The sequence below is a fragment of the Homo sapiens genome, chromosome 2 (genome assembly GCF_000001405.40).
Source record: "Homo sapiens chromosome 2, GRCh38.p14 Primary Assembly".
Taxonomy (NCBI): Eukaryota; Metazoa; Chordata; class Mammalia; order Primates; family Hominidae; genus Homo; species Homo sapiens.
In genome coordinates this window covers 221950709-221970519 of record NC_000002.12, presented here as the reverse complement: position 1 = coordinate 221970519, position 19811 = coordinate 221950709, and the positions used below count along the sequence as shown (strand labels likewise).

The 19811-nt window shown below is 39.7% G+C and overlaps 1 long non-coding RNA gene and 1 pseudogene across 1 annotated transcript in view; one reads left to right on the top strand and one right to left on the bottom strand.

Moving 5' to 3' along the window:
- On the bottom strand, positions 6063–8850 carry HSPA9P1 (heat shock protein family A (Hsp70) member 9 pseudogene 1; annotated as a pseudogene).
- Positions 9661–19811, top strand: part of LOC105373900 (uncharacterized) — a 54688-nt gene continuing 44537 nt past the window's right edge. The window contains exon 1 of the long non-coding RNA XR_923944.3: positions 9661–9855. This is a non-coding gene — a long non-coding RNA (uncharacterized LOC105373900). The remainder of the gene's footprint in view (positions 9856–19811) is intronic.

Below are 19811 nucleotides of genomic sequence, written 5' to 3'. Positions count from 1 at the left end.
TGGGGAAAAGTGGGTTTCTGCCTGGGGAAGATCTGGATTAAAAGAGCAAAGGACTAAAGAGATGGCATTACCATGGTCCATGTATGCCACAAAGAGTCCCTTGTGGACAGAAAGGAAGCAGTGAGCAGGAGAAACAGCTACACAAAAAACCGTCAGGATTTTGTGAGTGTTCGGTTATACACGGTGAAGAAGGAAGATGGTTTTAGGGACGGGACATCAAACATTCCAGCAGACAGCTGAACACCCATCACTGGCACTCAAGTGAAAATTCTGCCCAGGAGTTAAAGATTTTTCAATCAAACCCTAAGAGTTTAAGATGTGCAAAGAAAACAATTCCTTTGAAGGCAAAAGCATGAGGAGAGAAGAGCAGAGAGACTATGCTTTGAAAAATATTTACAGCTTATAGAAGAATGAAGGGGGGCTTGTGTCCCCCATGAAGAAGGCAGAAGGCCAGCCGGTGAGAAATTTCGGAAGATCAGGAAGCTGTCGTGAGTAGTCCATGTTGTATGGGCACTGGACACTGTATGATAATAGGACTTGGACTATTGTTACTGTTATTGTAGACAGGCTGATTGGGAAGGCAGGTCCTTTATCCTCACCTCTTTGTCCCTCTCTAAAGCTCTCCAACGAGACCAGAAGCATGGTCAAGCAGGCATGTGGTCAAGCATTTGCACCCGAGAAAGTGCTCTCCGTCTCCGGGGGAAGGGGTGAGATGAAGGGGAGGGTGACCAGGAAGAGGCCAAGTTTGCAAGCAACCCCATATCCGACCTTACACAGCTCCTACAGCCCCAGAAGCATACAGTCCTCTCTGAGATGCACCACTAATCTGCACCCTTGCAGAGTGCGAGGAACAAGACAGCTTTCCTTTGTCTTCCTTACATTTTGTGGAAAAACGGAGTCCTGAGGAGGCTCATTGTGCTGTGAAAGATGACTACATCTGTTAGCAGTAAGTTTTGAATGAGGACTCAAGTTTTCTTGACTTTCAGAGTAGTGTTCCTATTTCAATTAAGGTAAACAGTGACAAGTGTTAAATACAGAGGATATGTATATATGGAATACCTTGTCCCTGAGTCTATGGGAGTCCTAGTTTTTGCATTCATTGACATTAGTTTTTAGCCTTTCTGGATTCAGGACATAAGGTGACATTTTTGTGTTTACTGTATTCGATATGCTCTGAATATGAGAAAACCTTCAATGGGTGTTTTGGGCTGTTCCACACCGAAGTGCTAGGTGGCAGCCTAACACTATCTTAAGATATTTCAAATGCCTGTCTGGTGCTCTCAATGGCATTTTAACAAAAAATTTTTAGAGATATTTTAAAAGGAATAACTTTAAGGAGAAGATTTAAATAAATAATTAAATGATGGTGATGACACATATTATTTGTAAACCTCCTTTCACTGAACCCTATTTTAAATTACAAATTACACATGCAGTCGAATGTGGTATTGAAAACGTAAGACTTAGAAAAATAAGCAAAAGATGTAAACAGATATTTCACAAGAGAAGAAATACATAGGGCAAAGACTGTGTGCACAATTTCTAACCTCTAATAAGAAGGAAAATTCAAATTAAAATAAGGACATTTTTACTATCTCTCAATTTGACAGCATTATTTTCTAAAGTTCTATCCTGAAGAAAAATTAATTAGAGATGTGGTCAAAGATTTATGCACAAGCATCTTCCTTGATGTTTTATTTATGGTAGTCTAAAGACATTAATGCTTAGAAGATGGTGTTTCTTAAGATGAAATATTATGCATTCTTAATTGATAAGGCTTTTTATTTTAGTTAGCCTCTAACAAAATTATATTAATTATAGCCACTTAATGCAAAAGTGCAGATACATAATGTATAAAAACACACAGAGAAGAGGCGAAGGTTAACCCTTGTTGGAGGAACTGGATTTGTTGTGCACATTTTAGATATTTAGGAGAATTGACTAGATCCGAATTTCTACAACTAGGTCAATGCTTGGATTGATGATGAAGCAGAAGAATCATAACCAAATGGATGGCAAGTGGCTGTGTTCAGCCGCCGCTGTTTAACTAAACTGCAGGAGTGCAAAGGGATGAAAATCCAGGTCCCTTCTTTGAGACATTTTCTAGAATCACATGGGTGTCTGTGGGCCTAAATGTCACACACAGGGCTGCTGTCAGCACAAAGATTTCTGTGGCAACTAAAAAGGGAAGAATTCAGTAAACTAGAAAGAAACCTGCATCTCTCTCTCCAGTGATTATTAAACGATCATCTGTAAATATTGTGAAAGTTGTCAGAATCAAAATGGAGTCACTTGTGTTAAAAACCCTGACAAATAGAGTTGGGAAAGGCCAGGAAGAGAGTGGTCTCATCATGAGTGTCTGATAACAAGAACTACCACAAAAGACTGCAAAAAAGGCCATTGCAACCTTATACACACACACACACACACACACACACACACACACACACACAAATGCTTCTGCGGGGACATCTGCTCAGCAACTGCCAGTCTAACCTCATACTGGCGCCACCCTTGTTATTGATCCTTTCAGCCAAGGATAATTATCTCAAAACAATTATGCAATCCTCATTTTTTCTTTAAAAACCTTTGTCTTCCTTTACCTCCCTGCAGATGCACACAATTTATTATGGCATGCATATTCCTCACTGCAGTGCCCATTCCAGAGTAAATATTACTTTATTTTAGACAGTCTCCTTCTCTGTTATTTGGTTTGACAATATTTTGCTACATTGATAAATGTATTAATCTGCTATTAATTTCTTTCTTAACATATTCTTTCCTGTGTATTATTTTTTTTTTTTTTGGTCAATAACAGAAGGTTATAACTGCTTGATTTGCTATTTGATTTAAGTAATAACATGGAATAAATAAGACAAAGAAAAAATCAATAGAATTGTCTGGTCCAAGAGGTTGCTTGTTGCATTCTGCCAGAAATATATGGATCAAATATTCAATTTATTTATTCGTTTAATTTATTGATTCAATTACTCATTGCCTTCATTGTGGAAATAGCAGATAAAACATGGTCTTACACCTTGGTAATGGTAAAGTATAGGAAACATATGGAATCCTATCTTGGAATCCAGTACCCAATAATAATTTTTTAAAGGACTTAATTTTTAGATGAACATGTTGTTAAATAGTGACCAGATATGGCCCCAAATTTAAAACATAATTATAGGCCAGGCATGATGGCTCATGCCTGTAATCCCAGCACTTTAGGAGGCCAAGCTGGGGGGATCATCAGATCATGAGATCAAGACCATCCTGGCCAACATGGTGAAACCCCATCTCTACTAAAAATACAAAAATTAGCCGGGCATGGTAGCACGTGCCTGTAGTCCCAGCTACTTGGGAGGCTGAGGCAAGGGAATCACTTGAACCTGGGAGGTGGAGGTTGCAGTGAGCCTCTGAGATTGCGCCGCTGCACTCCAGCCTGGTGACAGAGTGAGACTCTGTTTCAAAAAAAAAAAAAAAAAAACACAAGAGAAACATAATTAACATAATTATAATCTACACATAATCAAAGTCTTGGTGCTTTCATTTCATGCCTGCAATATAACCTGTTGAAAAGCTGATTGAGAGGTAACTTCTGCAATGTCTCTCTTCTTTCAGCAATATGTATTTTCTTTTAACAACAGAAAAGCTACATCAAGATATTTGGTAATAGCATTTTTCTAGATCCTGTACTTTGGGAAGGAAACAGACCGTGAGACCTCTAAGTTCTTTCTTAAAATTTTTTCATGATTAGGAGAACATATTAACCATGAGAAAATTTTTCTGTATTCATCGAGATAGTTCCAATTTCTAGGCTTCTAGCCTGCCGATGAGGTCCTACCCTTTGTGTAAAACCACAGTGCTGCTGATCTATTATAATCATTTCCATGGAGAATCATATAATATTCACTGGGGGAGGAAACAGTGGAGATTGTCCTTCTGAGGCCCCTCATTTGGCAGATGAGCTTGAACATTTGAGTGTTTTTTTTTCAGTATAGGTCAAAACCTACTCTAATGAGACTGATGGATGGAACAATAGATTTTATTACAATGGAACACAAAAGAAGCATAGAATGTTCATTATTTTTAAAATTTGCATACTTAAATGTTTAGCGTGCCCCTTATTTTTACAATTAGTAAGGTGGAGGAAAGAAGGAAGCAAATGCAAATTTGGGGGGACCTGGAGCATTGGGAAGAATAAATGTTTGTATTTCCTTTATAATTTTATTTTGGTGCAAGTTGAGGTCACCTTAACAAAAATCTTCATGTTTTGCAAAGGGTTGCAGAGTTTCTCTTTTGTTTGTTTGAATTTACTTACTTATGTAATCCATGTATCAAAGGTTCCTGTAGCATGAATGGCCTGGGCTATCTATTGTTGTTTAGGAATATTTCTTGCCTTTAAGTCTATTCCTTCAGAAATACAGGAGAGGAGCTGAATTTTACTTCCTGGTGTCTCAGTAACTCCAGAGGCTGTGAGAACCTGCAGGGACCACTTGTTCCAGTCCTCTCATGTTACAAATAAGAAAACCAAAGCCTGAGGATGTTAAGTGTCTGCCCAAGGTCAATGGCAGAGCTGCCACAAGGAGCTGGGTCTCTTGCCTGCCAAGTGGGGCAATTTTTCTACAACATCTCTTTTGTCTTGTGGGCATACTCCCTTCTCAGCAATTTAATAAAGATCCTCATTACCTTTCTCAAAGACAGTAACTGAGTCAAGTGTTGATGATTTGCCTGAGCTCTCTGTCAGCACCCACTGTACCTTTCTAGGGTGACTGGGACCTTGCCTCAATTCATTCGTGCTTCTTACCTTCTTTCAACAAATGGTGACAAATCATTCTCACCTCTCACTAGACACTACTTAGGAACTGCTGAACCCACTGATGACTGTTAATGACAGTTCCTGGTCATCACCCTTTCCCCAGGGAAAGCTGTGCTAGAGACTCCCAGAACTACCTAACACAGGGGGCCAGGTGGGGACAGGCTGCCTTCAACATGTGACATGTGAGTGTGAGGAAGGAGGAGCATAAGGTTCAGGATACTTGTTTCAAATCTGGGCTCTACAACGTGGGCACGCTACCTATCCCTGTGTCTCAGTTTTCTTATTTATAAAGTGGGAGAATAATAGCAACATTTCCTTAATAGAATTGTGGTGAGGATTTAATGACTTAATACATATAAAATATTTTAAATATGGACTAGTACATAGTAAATGCCCCATTAATAGTGGCCAATATTATCAGTATGGGTTTTACTATATGAACAGGATCATATTCATTTTGGGTCAAGATAGTGGTCTGACGAGTAAGGGGATTATTTCTGCACAGAGTTTTCTGTGTTCCAGCCATAGCGGCCTTCAGTTCAAGGAGCAAGTTGCCTTTTTTTTTTTTTTTCCTGTGTTACGGCCTTTGTATATATCATTCCCTTTGACTGTTAGGTTTTCTTTCTTTGCTTTTATCTTATTAGGTCCTATGTGTCCTTCAGATCTTAGAACCAGCCTTACTTTTTCAGGGAAACGTTCCATGACCTGCTAATACTTTACTACATATTCTCATAGCACAAAAATCTTCATAATTCTTATAACTGACATAATTTTACAGGTAACAGTGATCATTTGATCAAAGCCAGTCTTTCTCACTAGACTCTACACTGCATTAGCATAGGGATTTTTTCTGTTTTTGCTGACCATTCGGTCCCCAATGCCTACACAGTATAATCCATGTTGCAGACATTCAATAGTTGTTTGTAGAATTAATATATAAATGAATGAATGAATGAAGGTGAGTCCAATAGAGTTTTCATCCCAAGATGAAACTGTGTGACAATTGGGTACAATATTGAGCTCTGAGGGAAGGACAGGACAAGTAGGTTGATGGAATGAGATCAACGCCATCACAGTATTATGTACAACGTGCCATGGTAATATGGTTTGGCTGTGTCCCCACCCAGATCTCATCTTGAAATCCCATGTGTTGTGGGAGACAGGTTGCTCTTCACACTCATAAAGCCAGAAGTCGTTTCTTCTTTTTATAAAAGAGAAAAATCTAACTTCATAATTTTATTTTATTTGCTTTACATATTTATTAAAAAAAAAAACAGAATGGGTAAGAGAACAATCATCAAGGGTGTAGGTGCCAGACAAGGGCAGAAGATAGCTAGAAAAGTATGCCTTAGGGAAGTTAAGGGTCTAGCCTCATTCCTACGTTGTTTTAATAGCTGTACCTAACATAAATAACTAAGCTTTCCATTGTTCTAGATTCCTCTGCCCCATCTACAAACATGGCACAGCCGGCTTGCCTTGCAAGGCCTCAGTTGAAGGACCCCATGTACACATAGGCCAGTACAGCAGTACTAGGCTAACTAGAAGGATCTCATCCCCATATGTGGTCTCATTTCAAGTCTATGGCTGACTACCTTCATGATTGTGTGCGAGATGGTTTCACCCCTTGAAAATATGGCCACTTCAGCATAAAATAGTTAAATCTTTATAATGATCAATTCATCCTACTTCCTTTTACATGCAGCTGAAAAATGATAAGCTAGGGACATCGAACATTGTGAACTTTATACTGTTAGAATCACCATCCATTAAATGATCACTAGCTAATAGTAACTAAATTTACAAATTAAGGAAATTATATATAGAATACTGCAAAAACACAGTAAAAAGACTGAAGTTTGCCCGTTTCTGCTCAGGAAGTCTCTTTACTCCTAAGCTTCATATGTGGTCCTTCTGGCTTCAAAATTTCTGCTATTATTACTGTTTTTCCTCCTTTTGATCTTCCTTTTGTTCCCCAGTGCCAGAACTTCCAGAGCCTTCTCGTTCAGTTGCCATCTTTTTGTATGCCATTTTGAAGAGCTTCAATGATGCCTGCTGAAGAGAGGATGCTGCCTGTCTAATGTTTTCTCCTGTTTCACTGTCTTTTTAGCTAGGAGCTCCCTCACTTTGGAAATCTCTTCTTTCAGCTTGTTGCACTATCAGCAGGTAATTGGTCCTTGAATTCTTCCATCTTGGTTTCTGTGTCATGAATGATGCCTTCAGCCATATTAACTGCTTCAACTCATTCCTTCCTTCGCTGGTCTTCCTTAGCATATTTCTCTGCATTTTTAACCATATTTTCAACATCATCTTTGCTTAACCCACCAGAAGACTGGATTACAATCTGCTGCTCATGTCCTGTGCCTTTATCTTTAGCTGAAACATGTATGATCCCATTGGCATCAATGTCAAATGTAACTTTGATCTGAGGAACTCCACGAGGGGCTGGTGGAATTCCAATCAAAGTAAACTGTCCAAGGAGTTTGTTGTCTCCAGCCATCTCTCTCTCACCCTGACACACTTTAATTTCCACTTGTGTCTGCCCATCAGCAGCAGTTGAGAATACCTGGCTCTTCTTGGTTGGAATAGTGGTATTCCTATTAATAAGTTTGGTAAAGACACCTCGCAGAGTTTCAATACCCAGAGACAGGGGAATGACATCAAGGAGCAGCACATCTGTGACATCGCCGGCCAACACATCTCCCTGAATGGCAGCTCCAATGGCCACAGCCTCATCAGGATTGACAGCTTTACTTGGGGGCTCTGCCAAAAAAAGTCCTGCACAGTCTGTTGAACTTGGGCATCCTAGTCATGCCACCCACAAGAATCACTTCTCCTATATCACTCTTGCTGACTTCTGCATCTTGCATAGCTTTTTGGCATGGAGCGATAGTCCTCCTGATTAGATCAGTGACAATCCCTTCAAATTGAGCATGGGTCAACTTTGTATTCAAATGCTTGGGTCCAGAAGAATCCATTGTAAGATAGGGCAAATTGATGTCAGTCTGCACAGATGAGGAGAGTTCACATTTAGCCTTTTCAGCAGCTTCCCACACCCTCTGAAATGCCACGTTGTCTTTGGTCAAATCAACCCCCGTCTCTCTCTTGAACTCCTTCACAATGTGCTGTAGCAAGGCCTGGTCAAAGTCTTCCCCACCTAAGAAAGTGTCCCCATTTGTGGATTTCACCTCGAATACTCCTTTCTGAAATTCCAGGATAGAAATATCAAAAGTTCCACCACCTAAATCATATACAGCAATGACTTTGTCTTTTGATTTGTCTAGACCATAGGCAAGAGCAGCAGCTGTGGGTTCATTAATCACCCGAAGCACATTCAGTCCAGATATCTGGCCAGCATCTTTAGTGGCCTGCCTCTGCAAGTCATTGAAATAAGCTGGGACTGCGATCACAGCATTTTTTGCTGTGTGCCCCAAGTAATTTTCTGCAGTCTCTTTCATCTTCATCGACACAAATGCTCCGATCTGACTTGGAGAATACAGTTTCCCATGAGCCTCAACCCAGGCATCACCATTGGAGGCACAGACAATTTTAAAGGGAATATTTTTAATGTCTTTCTGTACTTCAGGATAGCTGGACAATGAGACATTTGGTAGCATAGAATGCATTGTTTGGGTTGGTGACAGCCTGTTGCTTGACTGGCATGCCAACAAGTCGCTCACCATCTGCTGTAAAGGCCACAACTGAAGGGGTAGTTCTGGCACCTTCGGCATTCTCCAGCACCTTTGCTTGTTTACCTTCCATAACTGCCACACAGGAGTTGGTAGTACCCAAATAAACACCACCAGCTGCTCCATTGATTGCTTCTGACGCATAATCCTGCCTTGAAACAATTCTAAAAGCCTCATGACTAAGGCCATTCCAGCCATCCTGCTGGCGGGCGGCCGTAGGGCCCGGGGAGGCTGCGGTGCCCCTGAGACGGGCTGCTGCAGCTCGGCTGGCACTTATTATGGCGGCTGGATGGAGGAGTATGAGGCAGCAAACAGGCGCTCAGGCGGCCGGGAGCTGCGCGGTGCAGTCATGATTTTATGATATTTAAAAAGTTGCTTGCAATCAAGTGCATAATATTAAGCATACAGTTCAAGTTTTGATAAACAGTAACCTTTATGACTAGCACTATAATCAACTGGGCTACTTCTGTCCTTATCTACTGCCATTGTCTTGAATAGTTTGGCATCAGCCTTCATTGGTCCTCTCACTTCCATTTATGTTCCACTTTGACTCATTCTCCTCCAGCAGCCAAACTAATTCAATTATTACATAAGCTAGATTATTTGATAATAACCTCTACTGCTTAAATTTGCTTAGATTACTTGATACTTGATTCTACTGCTTAGATTATTTGGTAATAATCTCTTAAAAGCCTCAACTAGCTCCCAGTTGTAATAGAATGAACTCAAATTCTTTAACATGGCCTAAAAGGCCCTGTGTGTTCTGGCCCCTACCCTGCTCCCAGCCTTGTCTTGCACCATTCTTCCCCTTGCATTCTGTACTACCGTAACATGGATCTTCCTTCAGTTCCTTGAATTTGCCAAGTTCTTTCTTACTCTAGAGTCTAGATAGAAACACTCTTTTTCCACTCCTTTGTATCCTGCAGGTCTATGGCAGGCAAATGGTGGCCTCCCAAAGACGTTCATGTCCTAATCTCCAGGAACCAGTGAATAAATTACCTTACATGGCAAAAGGAACTTTGTAGATGTGATTAAGTCAAGGATATTGAGATGAAAAGATATGCCTGGATTATCCGGCTGGGGACAGTTTAATCATAATAGTCATTATGAGCAAAAGAGGGAGGCAGGAGAGTCAGTCAGCAAAGGAGATGTGAAAATAGAAGCTGGGTTGAGGAGCTTTTAGGCTTTGAGGACAAAGGTGGTGATGAGCTGAGGACTGCAGGCAGCCTCTAGACACTGAAAAGGAAAGGAATGGATTCTCTTCTAGAGCCTCCAAAGAAACACAGCCCTGCCAGCATCTTGACTTCAGCCCCATAAGACCCATTTCAGACTTCGAGCTTCTAGAACTGTAAGGTAATCAGTTTATGTGGCTTTAAGCCGTGAGGTTTCTAGTTATTTCTTACAACAGCAATAGAAAACTAATGCAAGTTCTCTGCTTTAAATGCTATTTTTTCATAGACATCTTCCCCTAGCCACTCCATTTAAAATAGAGCCTGATATGGTTATGGTTTGGCTCTGTGTCCCCACCAAAATCTCATGTAGAATTGTAATTCCTAATAGTGGGAGAGGGACCTGGTGGGAGGTGATTGGATCATGGGGACGGATTTTCCCCTTGCCATTATAGTGATACTGAGTGAGTTCTCAGGAGATCTGATTATTTAAGTGTGTGTGGCACTTTCCCCATTGATCTCTCTCTCCCGTTACCATATGAAGTTGTGCTTGCTTCCCCTTTGCCTTCTGCCATAATTGTAAGTTTACTGAGGCCTCCCCCACTATGCCTCCTGTACAGCCTGCAGTACTGTGAGTCAGTTAAACCTCTTTTCTTCATAAATTACCCAGTCTTAGGTATGCCTTTTTAGCAGCATGAGAATGGACTAATACAGAACGCTTTACCCCATCCCTTAACAGGCTCTCAACCCCATTCCCACCGAGCAGTCTCTACACCACTCCTGGGCTTGTTTCCTGTAACACTCACCATTTGTATTATAGTTATCTTTTACTTATTCTTTGTCATCATTTGCCAGAATGTGTGCTCTGTGAGGACAGGGATAACATCTCATTTACCACTGTATCTTCAGGAACTGGTATTGCAGCTGCAATTTTTAAATTATGGGCTTAATCAGTATTTATTAATGATTCATTTCTGTGCTGTCCAATATAGTAACCACTGGTCACATGTGGCTTTTGATCATTTGCAACACGGCTAGTCCAAATGAGATGTATTGCAAGTGTAAAATACATTTTGAAGTCTCACTATAATAAAAGAATGTAAAATGTCTTAATGATACTTTTTTTGTTGATTATATGTTGAAATGATGACATTTTGGACATACTGGGTTAAATAAATATATTATTGAAATTAATACCAAATTATTAAAATTAATGTTACTTATTTTTCCTTTTATGAATATGGCTATCAAGACATTTAAAATTATGTATGTGATTTACATTCTGTTTCACAGGGCTTAGATTGTGGATATCTTGAAAGAAAACCCCACATTTTATTTCACTTTGTATGAACCAAAATTATTTGCACATAGTAGCTTCTCAATAGTTTGCTGCATGAATGGGATGTTTGTTAACTTATTTTATTAAGAATATGTAACATTGGCCGGGTGTGGTGGCTCACGCCTGTAATACCAACACTTTGGGAGGCTGAGGCGGGCGCATCACCTGAGATCAAGAGTTTGAGACCAGCCTGGCCAACATGGTGAAATGCTGTCTCTACTAAAAATACAAAAAAAAAAAAAAAAATAGCAAGGTATGGTGGCAGGTGCCTGTAATTCCAGCTACTTGGGAGGCTGAGGCTGGAGAATTGCTTGAACCCAAGAGGCAGAGGTTGCAGTGAGCCGAGAATGCACCATTTCACTCCAGCCTGGGCGACAAGAGTGAAACTCCATCTAAAAAAAACAAAAAAACAAAAAAAAAAACCCATGTAACATTGTACCAATGCATAAAATTGGGCCAAAAGAGAAGATTTGCATTCAGCAATTTTTACCTATTAGATATTTGTGGTTACATGTGGTATTTTTTACCGGATAGACTTTCTAGTAGCTTTAAAATTAATGCTATTAATATATGTTATCAATCTGCAATTGAAAATAGATCTAGATGGCAAATGTGATGAATTAGACATTCTTATACTGTTTAGCGCGATGAGATTCTACCTTCAGGGGCACAGCTTTTTCCTTAGAACACCCACTTTCTTATGAAACATTTAGAAGTCTATCTAAGAAAATGTGCTAGGCACTGCTTCTCAGTCTTTGTCTGAAAATTACTCTGAATGACCAAGGGAAGGAAGTATGTATACTCGTGAGTTGGGAAATGGGGGCATTTAGGACCTAGCCTTGGGCTCCGCCCTCTCTCAGTTTGCTTGAATTTTCTTTAACATCCATTATTTTGTCTGAAAAATTCATGACAATATTACATTCTACTCCATAATATGTCTGTATTTGTCTTAGTGTAAAGATATTCCTCTGTAGTCCAAATCCTTAAATAAAATAGATACTCCATGCTTTTGTCTGAGGCTCTTTGTACTCTCCATGTAGTGATCCACCTGGGGGCACTGGTACCGCACTCTGAGAAGAACAGAATTAAGAGTGATGTCCTGAGCCTTGACTTTCTGGGGAGTCCTTATATGGCTGTAATGATGATTGGTTAAGCAGTGAGTTGGGCAGCAGCTGGTGGGGAGGGGATGAAGTGGTTCTCCCAGTTGATGTGGGGCTGCAGAGTGAGGGGAAACAAGAACAAAAAAGCATTAGCAAAAATATGGAGGCCATCTCAAGGCCCGTGTTTATGGCCAAGATAAATTGACAGATGGGCCTTGTCTCTATCCACCTTTCATTTCCTTCTGGCTTCAGGCTGCCTTTTGGGATTGTTGTATGTGTGTGTGCCCGTGTGTGTGTTTTGTGTTTATGTGCCTTTAAAAGCAACACTTGGAATCCACTTGCCTATATAAAAGTTAGAAGAAGGGGCAGGGCACGGTGGCTCATGTCTGTAATCCCAGCACTGTGGGAGGCTGAGGCAGGTGGGATCACTTGAGGTTAGGAGTTCAAGACCAGCCTGGCCAACGTGGTAAAACCACATCTCTATTAAAAATACAAAAATTAGCTGGGCGTGGTGGCGTACGCCTGTAATCCCAGCTACTCAGGAGGCTGAGGCAGGAGAATCGCTTGAGTCCAGGAGGCAATGGTTGCAGTGAGCCGAGATCGCACCACTGCACTCCAGCCTGGGTGACAGAGCAAGACTCTGTCTCAAAAAAAAAAAAGTTAGAAGAAGGGAAAGACAGAATGTCATTTTTCTAGACCATTCTCTTCCTTGGAGATGGCCCCTTACTTAAACCTAGTGATAGCCTGACCCATCCTCCTTGTTTTGGTAACTGGCAATTTACATGCACTGTGTTATTTAATCCCCATTTCAGCCCTATAAGGTAGAAACTGGTTATTACCATTTGACAGGTGAACAAACTGAGTCTGCCCATAGTCTACCCGGCCTGTAAGTGCCCAAGTCAGGATTATGAGATTGTGGTTTTTTGCTTCCCCATCACAGTTTGCTGCCTATCCAGCAGGTTTAGAGGCCATTTCAACTTGATTCTACAATTTCTTTTTAGTGCCTCCTACATCCTAGGGATCATGCTGGACTTAAAAGAATATACAAAGATAAATACTTTTCCCATATATGACACTCAAAGCAGGATGTAAGAAAGATAGGAATTATTCAATTACTTTCTTGGGGCCATTCATCCTGAATAGCCTAGAGTTAAACTTTAATTTCTTATTCAACATAGGTAGGTGAATGAGACAACAATGTCTCCACTAGAAACAAAACAAAAGTAATACAAAAAATTGGCACTTCAACAGAAAATATGAACCACCACTGCTGCAGGTCCTTTGTCTCAATCATTCAGTAGAATGGAAAAAAAAAATCACTTCATAAATCAGTCGAACCTGGTCTCATTCTGCCATTCACAGAACATGGAATTACTTGCTTCGACTGATAAATGGATGTCTTTGCCAGAGTACTGTCACTGAGACTTATATAACTTACATTGCAATTATTACTTATGTCTTAGAAATAACTTATTTATTTTAGCTTATATCATCTTTTCATTCTTGAAACATGTCCTTTATGTATTTGCTTTTGAAAACTGGAGTAGATGCCAGTATAGAAAGAAGCCTTTCTATTACCATATCTGAAATATAGTTTTGAAAGTGGGTGATATGAAACAGTATGTTGATTTTTGGTATTATATCATCATAAGCCAGAGCAAAAGGAAAATAACAACTGCATTTTAATAAAATTAAGGGTATTTATGATTTGATTCCAGTAAGTGCTAAAACCAGAGTGTGTGGAGTAGTCAAGCCTTAAATTTGTTAGTGCACAAAAGGTTGATTTATTACATTTTAGTTGTTAGAGTCCAAAGGAGATAGGCACAACTTATCTACATATAAAAATATACATAGAGATACATACGTGTGTGTACCCAATATATACACGCAGACACATAATACACATAAAAGCTTATTAAAAACAACCAAATTCTATTTTAATCCTCTTAAAAAGGTAAAAAGCTGCATCGTCAATTTTGCTGTGCGTTTCCCATAATCTCAGTTAATGCCTCTGGGGAAGAGAGCTGAATTTTGGCAACAGTATGTAACTTGGTAATTGGACACAACTCCAAGTCATTTGCTAGGACTCCAAGTTTTTCAATGAAAGTTGAAAATTAATCTGTAAACCATTCATTTATACACACACACACACACACACACACACACACACACACACACACACATATTTTGGAGACAGAGTTTCGCTTTTGTTGCCCAGGCTGGAGTGCAATGGCGCAATCTCGGCTCACCGCAACCTCCGCCTCCCGGGTTCAAGCAGTTCTCCTCCCTCAGCCTCCTGAGTAGCTGGGATTACAGGCATGCACCACCAAGCACGGCTAATTTTTGTGTTTTTAGTAGAGACAGGGTTTCTCCATGTTGGTCAGGCTAGTCTGGAACTCCCGACCTCAGGTGATCCGCCCACCCCGGCCTCCCAAAGTGCTGGGATTACAGGCGTGAGCCACGGCACCCGGCCTCATTTTCATATTTTTAATATGTGCATCGTGAATCTTTTTCTTCTTAGCTTATGACTGTCTTTCAGAATGGAATTAGGATGGTAAATTTTAATTGGTAATCATTCCACTTTTGATATGTAACCTGGGATTACCCCGTGTCTTTCTGATTCTCAAAATCAACAATAAATTACCTAAATTATTACCACATATAAATACCTATTTAGTTTGCAGCCAAGCAGGCATATTTGCAACATCTTGAAACTAGAAGCATTTTTTATGCTTTTGCATGTAATATGCTCCCCCACACATCTCTGCAGAAACAACTCTCCATGTTTCTTTCCTAAATAACAAATAAATACAATTCTTTAGTAAAATGTAGGCTATTTCCCCTCAGTCCCCATTTTATATTATGTTATCATTTAGAAAGTCATATTTACAGTTATTTTAGAAACATTTTCTAATAAGGAAGATCTGTTTGGAAGAGGAAAATTGCCCGGTTTACTGTAAAGGTAGACTATCGCCCTTCCACCTAATTTCCCAACCCCATGCTCCACCGGCCAAGACATGATTGAATAACTCAGTTGTCCTTTTTTTTCTACTTACCTTCTAAAAAAGGTTTCTACTTGATAAGCGTGATGGATGTTAGATAACACCTGAAAGACCAGAGGGGGAAGTTGCTGTTGCTTTTTCTTTGTAACTCAAACTTACCTTTGTCACACATATTTTTCAGGTTTCTGCAAGTAGCCACTACCTTGCCCCTTTTGGCCTCCTCTTTTTCTCTAAGTTTTATTCTCCTTCTTATTTCTGCGAAATGGACTATTATGGAAACAATACTACTGAAAAAGAGAAGGCCAGACACTAACCGAGATCCACATTTTGACTTTTTAAAATTATACACTCTAAATTATGTTTGGATTTTTTCATTGATTTCAATGTTTACAATTCAGCTAATTTAATAAATTACCTTTTTTCTCCTTTTCTAAACTCTCTTATCCTCCCTTTTCCTCTCATGATCCTGTGTCTTGTTGTAATTGTCTTACCTGGCCTCATAGGCCTCATAAAAGCCTGGAAGTAGGCTGGTAAAAAGGAAACTCCTATGGGGTGGAAAATGTACAGGTAAAGCCGAGTGGGCAAAGACAATTTTTTTAAATATATGGAGTGGAAGGAGCATGGGTCAAGGTTGACAACATCATATATTAATTTTTATCTTCATTCCACTGAAATTGAGACATATAATTTCTCTTTCCCATGTAGACTTTTCTTTCCTCACTGTCAAATTTTCTGTCTTATTTCCAATTCTGGAATTGAAAACTATAGCTTCAAATCTCCTAAAAGGAATTAACCTGTAGCATTTGAACAGAGACACCGAATACTTACATATACCAACGTAGTATATGTAAATATTACTAATTGGTATATATTTATGCTAATTATTTGCATTATTACTGGTCATTTGATGAGGCAAATGTTCAACAGAAAGTAGATCTACCCATCCTGTGGACATAGTCTTGGAAGGTAAGCTTTTTAGAAAGAGGTATATTCTTTGCATTCCGTACAGCATCTTGGAGTGCATGATGGTTGTTCTATGAATATTATATAATGAGAAATATGATGAAGCCACATTTTTTGGTAAGTCTATTCAGGCCTAAATGAAATAGTTTTTTAAAAAATCTAAACACAGGGTTAAACATCTTCCAACGTTGAGGCTGATAGCTGATGTCTCTTTAAAAGATGTAAACATTTTGGAGACTATGCTTGAAAAAATACAGCCACACACAGAGAAATAGAAATAAGACTGAAATATATTTCTTAAATATTTGGAAATCTTACAAATTTTATAAAATCTGAGACCTTGTCAATTGAAAAGTGTACCTTATTTTGTATCTCTCTCACACACACGTGTGCACACACCCATGATGCTTGTTAGGATTTTTAGTTTATACATAGTGGAGAGTTATTTTAAGACTTAATTATGAAAATATTTTTAGAATTGATACTTCATTCTGTGTACACATCAAAAGGAAAAGGAAAATAAAGTAAAAATGGCTGAGGCATTCCTAAAATTTGTTCACATGCAGACTCCAATTCTCTGGAAATCCTGTTGGCTCAGTTGCTGGGGTTCATGATTTTCCTCACACTGCCATCCTCTGTGCCATTCAGAGTGTTAATGATGAAGAACTTCTTAAAAGAATGCTCCAGTATTGTCTCTGGGATTTTCTTTGAAGCAGTTGATCCTTAGTTGGAAGATTTGATGCCTGTGCTTACTTGACTATCTGAGGTACCAATAGAATATTTTCACATAATAGCCAGGACTCATATTTTTTCCTTAAGTGGGCCTGAAATGGTTTGTTGACAGAAATATTGATGGGTTGTGATTGTCCAGTTGGGTCACTAGGAATGACAACTGAACTCAAAGATGTGCAGGTGATGATAACTACTTTGCAATTTTACCTGACTGATAGCAATTGTGAGATGCATTCTGATTTTATAATGCAAAAACACAAAAGCAGGCTCATCTCAGAATTAATAAAAAATGATGGACATTTTATTAGATACCAGACATCATGTTAGATTGATTATTCTACAATGTAATTTGAATTAATCACTCATTTTACCATTATGTATCGTTAAACATAGTGTATTAGTTCATTCTCAGGCTGCTATGAAGAAATACCCAAGGCTGGGTAATTTATAAAGAAAGTGGTTTAATTGACTCACAGTTCCACATGGCTAGGGAGGCCTCAGGAAACTTACAATTATGGCAGAAGGCACCTCTGCACAGGGCAGCAGAAGAGAGAATGAGTGCCGATTGAAGGGGGAAGCCCCTTATAAAACCATCATATCTCATGAGTACTCATTCACCTCCACGAGAACAGCACAGGGAGAACTGCCCCCATGATTCAACTATCTCCGCCTGGTCCCACCCTTGACACGTGGGGATTATGACACTTCAAGGTGAGATTTGGGTGGGGACACAGTGCCAAGCCATATCACACAGCTTCATTCTGAAGTTCATTGACTATATTTTCACTCATCTTCCTTTTTTGTTGATTCCTGATCTTAGGGAAATTATGAAGTATTGAAACATTTTGTGGTTAGATTTCAGACTTGTTTCTTAAATAAAAGGTAGCAAAAGCACCTGATAATTGTCAATGCTTAGGTCCACTCTCTGGGTATTGATGCATAATCTTGTGGGGGTGGGTAACTTGCAGTGTGACAATGGCATGGACTTTAAAGCCTGTTTTTGGATCTAAATCTTGATCCTACAAGCAGTAACTGAAAAATCTTGAGAGAGTCTCTTAATTTCTCTTAAATTTAGCTTTCTTTCCTACATAAAGCATGATATTAATATTTATTTGTAGGATTATTTTAAGGATTAGGATTGTTGAAACCTAGTGGACACTCAACGAAAGGTTAGATGTTATTATATGTGTCCTACCCCAATCTGGGTATCAGAATGACACCTTCAACTATCATTTGGGTGCATTTAATTCAGTACTTTTGTTTAATTTTTACTTACAGTAATCTTTAGCTTGTGATTTTATGAAGACTAAAAACTAAAAAATCGGATAAATAGGTGATATAGTTTGGCTGTGTCCCCACCAAAATCTCATTTGAATTGTAGTTCCCATAATCCCCGTGTGTCCTGGGAGGGACTCAGTGGGAGGTAATTGAATCCTGGGGGTAGTTTCTCTCATACTGTTCTTGTGGTAGTGATTAAGTCTCATGAGATCTGATGGTTTTATAAATGGAAGTTCCCCTGCACAAGCTCTCCTGCCTGCTGCCATGTAAGGCGTGACTTTGCTCCTCATTTGCCTTCTGCCATGATTGTGAGGCCTCCCTAGCCATGTTGGACTTGTGGGTCAATTAAATCTCTTTCCTTTATAAATTACCCAGTGTTGGATATGTCTTTATTAGTAGCATGAGAACAGACTAATACAACAGGTTAAACCATGTAAAGTTTTGAAAATGACTTATACTCAAGTATACATATATACATGAACTTCTGTATTAATCAGGGTTCTCTAGAGGGACAGAGCTAATAGGATAGATGTATATATGAAGGGGAGTTTATTAGGAGAATTGACTCAGATGGTCACAAGGTGAAGTTCCACGATAGGCTGTCTGCAAGCCGAGGAGCAAGAAAGCCAGTCTGAATCCCAAAACCTCAAAAGTAGGGAAGCCAACAGTGCAGCCTTCAGTCTGTGGCCAAAGACCCAAGAGCTCCTGGCAAATCACTGATGTCAATCCAAGAATCCAAAAGCTGAAGAACTTGTAGTCTGATGATCGAGGGCAGGAAGCATCCAGTGCGGGAGAAAGACGGAAGCTAGAAGACTTAGCAAGTCCACTTTTTCCAACTTCTGCCTGCTTTATTCTAGCCACACCAGCAGCTGATTAGATGGTGCCCACACAGATTGAGTTGGTGGGCACCAGTGCAGCTTTATTTTAGCCTCACTGGCAGCTGAGTATATGGTGCCCACCCGGATTGAGTGGGTGGTGTACTCATTAGATGGTGGGCACCATCTAATCAGCTACCAGTGTGGCTAGAATAAAACAGACAGAAGAAGTAGGTCTGCCTCTCCCAGTCCACTAACTCAAATGTTATTCTCCTTTGGCAACACCCTCACAGACACACCCAGGAACAATACTTTTCATCCTTCAAACTAATCAAGTTGACACTCAGTATTAACCATCACAACTTCTAATGATATTATAGATCAATTAGGATGTAGTTTTGGCACATTAATTCCCAGTTCCTTCTCATGAGATGGGATTGGTTGAATCTTTAGACAAGAATGGCTGGGTTTCAGTCGTTGAAGAATGGCTGGGCTTCACATTTGGTCCTGCTCTGAGTCCCCTTGTATCAGTATCTGGCTCAGCAGCATCTTCCGCTCCACTGTAGGGACTCCATGTGGATCCCTGTCAAGCTCTGATGGACTGGTCATTTTCTTCTATCATTGGTTATGTACCAGTGACTGAGAGCTTTCAGTCTCATGTGCAAAGCAAGGTCTTGAACTTGTCAAGATGAATCAAGTATATTTCTTTTGTGCTAATGCTCCTAGCCTTACAAATTACGACATAGTTCTTCTAAGGCTTACATGGTCTACAACTCCTCTGTTAAAATGAATGCAAACTGCCTTCTGGTACTGCGTGACCAGGGTTTTTATAAGACTATCTCTTTTCATTGATTTTTGCTCAGAAGTCTTTTTTTCCAAGTTTGTTTCCTTCTTCTCACTCTTAAAAGTCT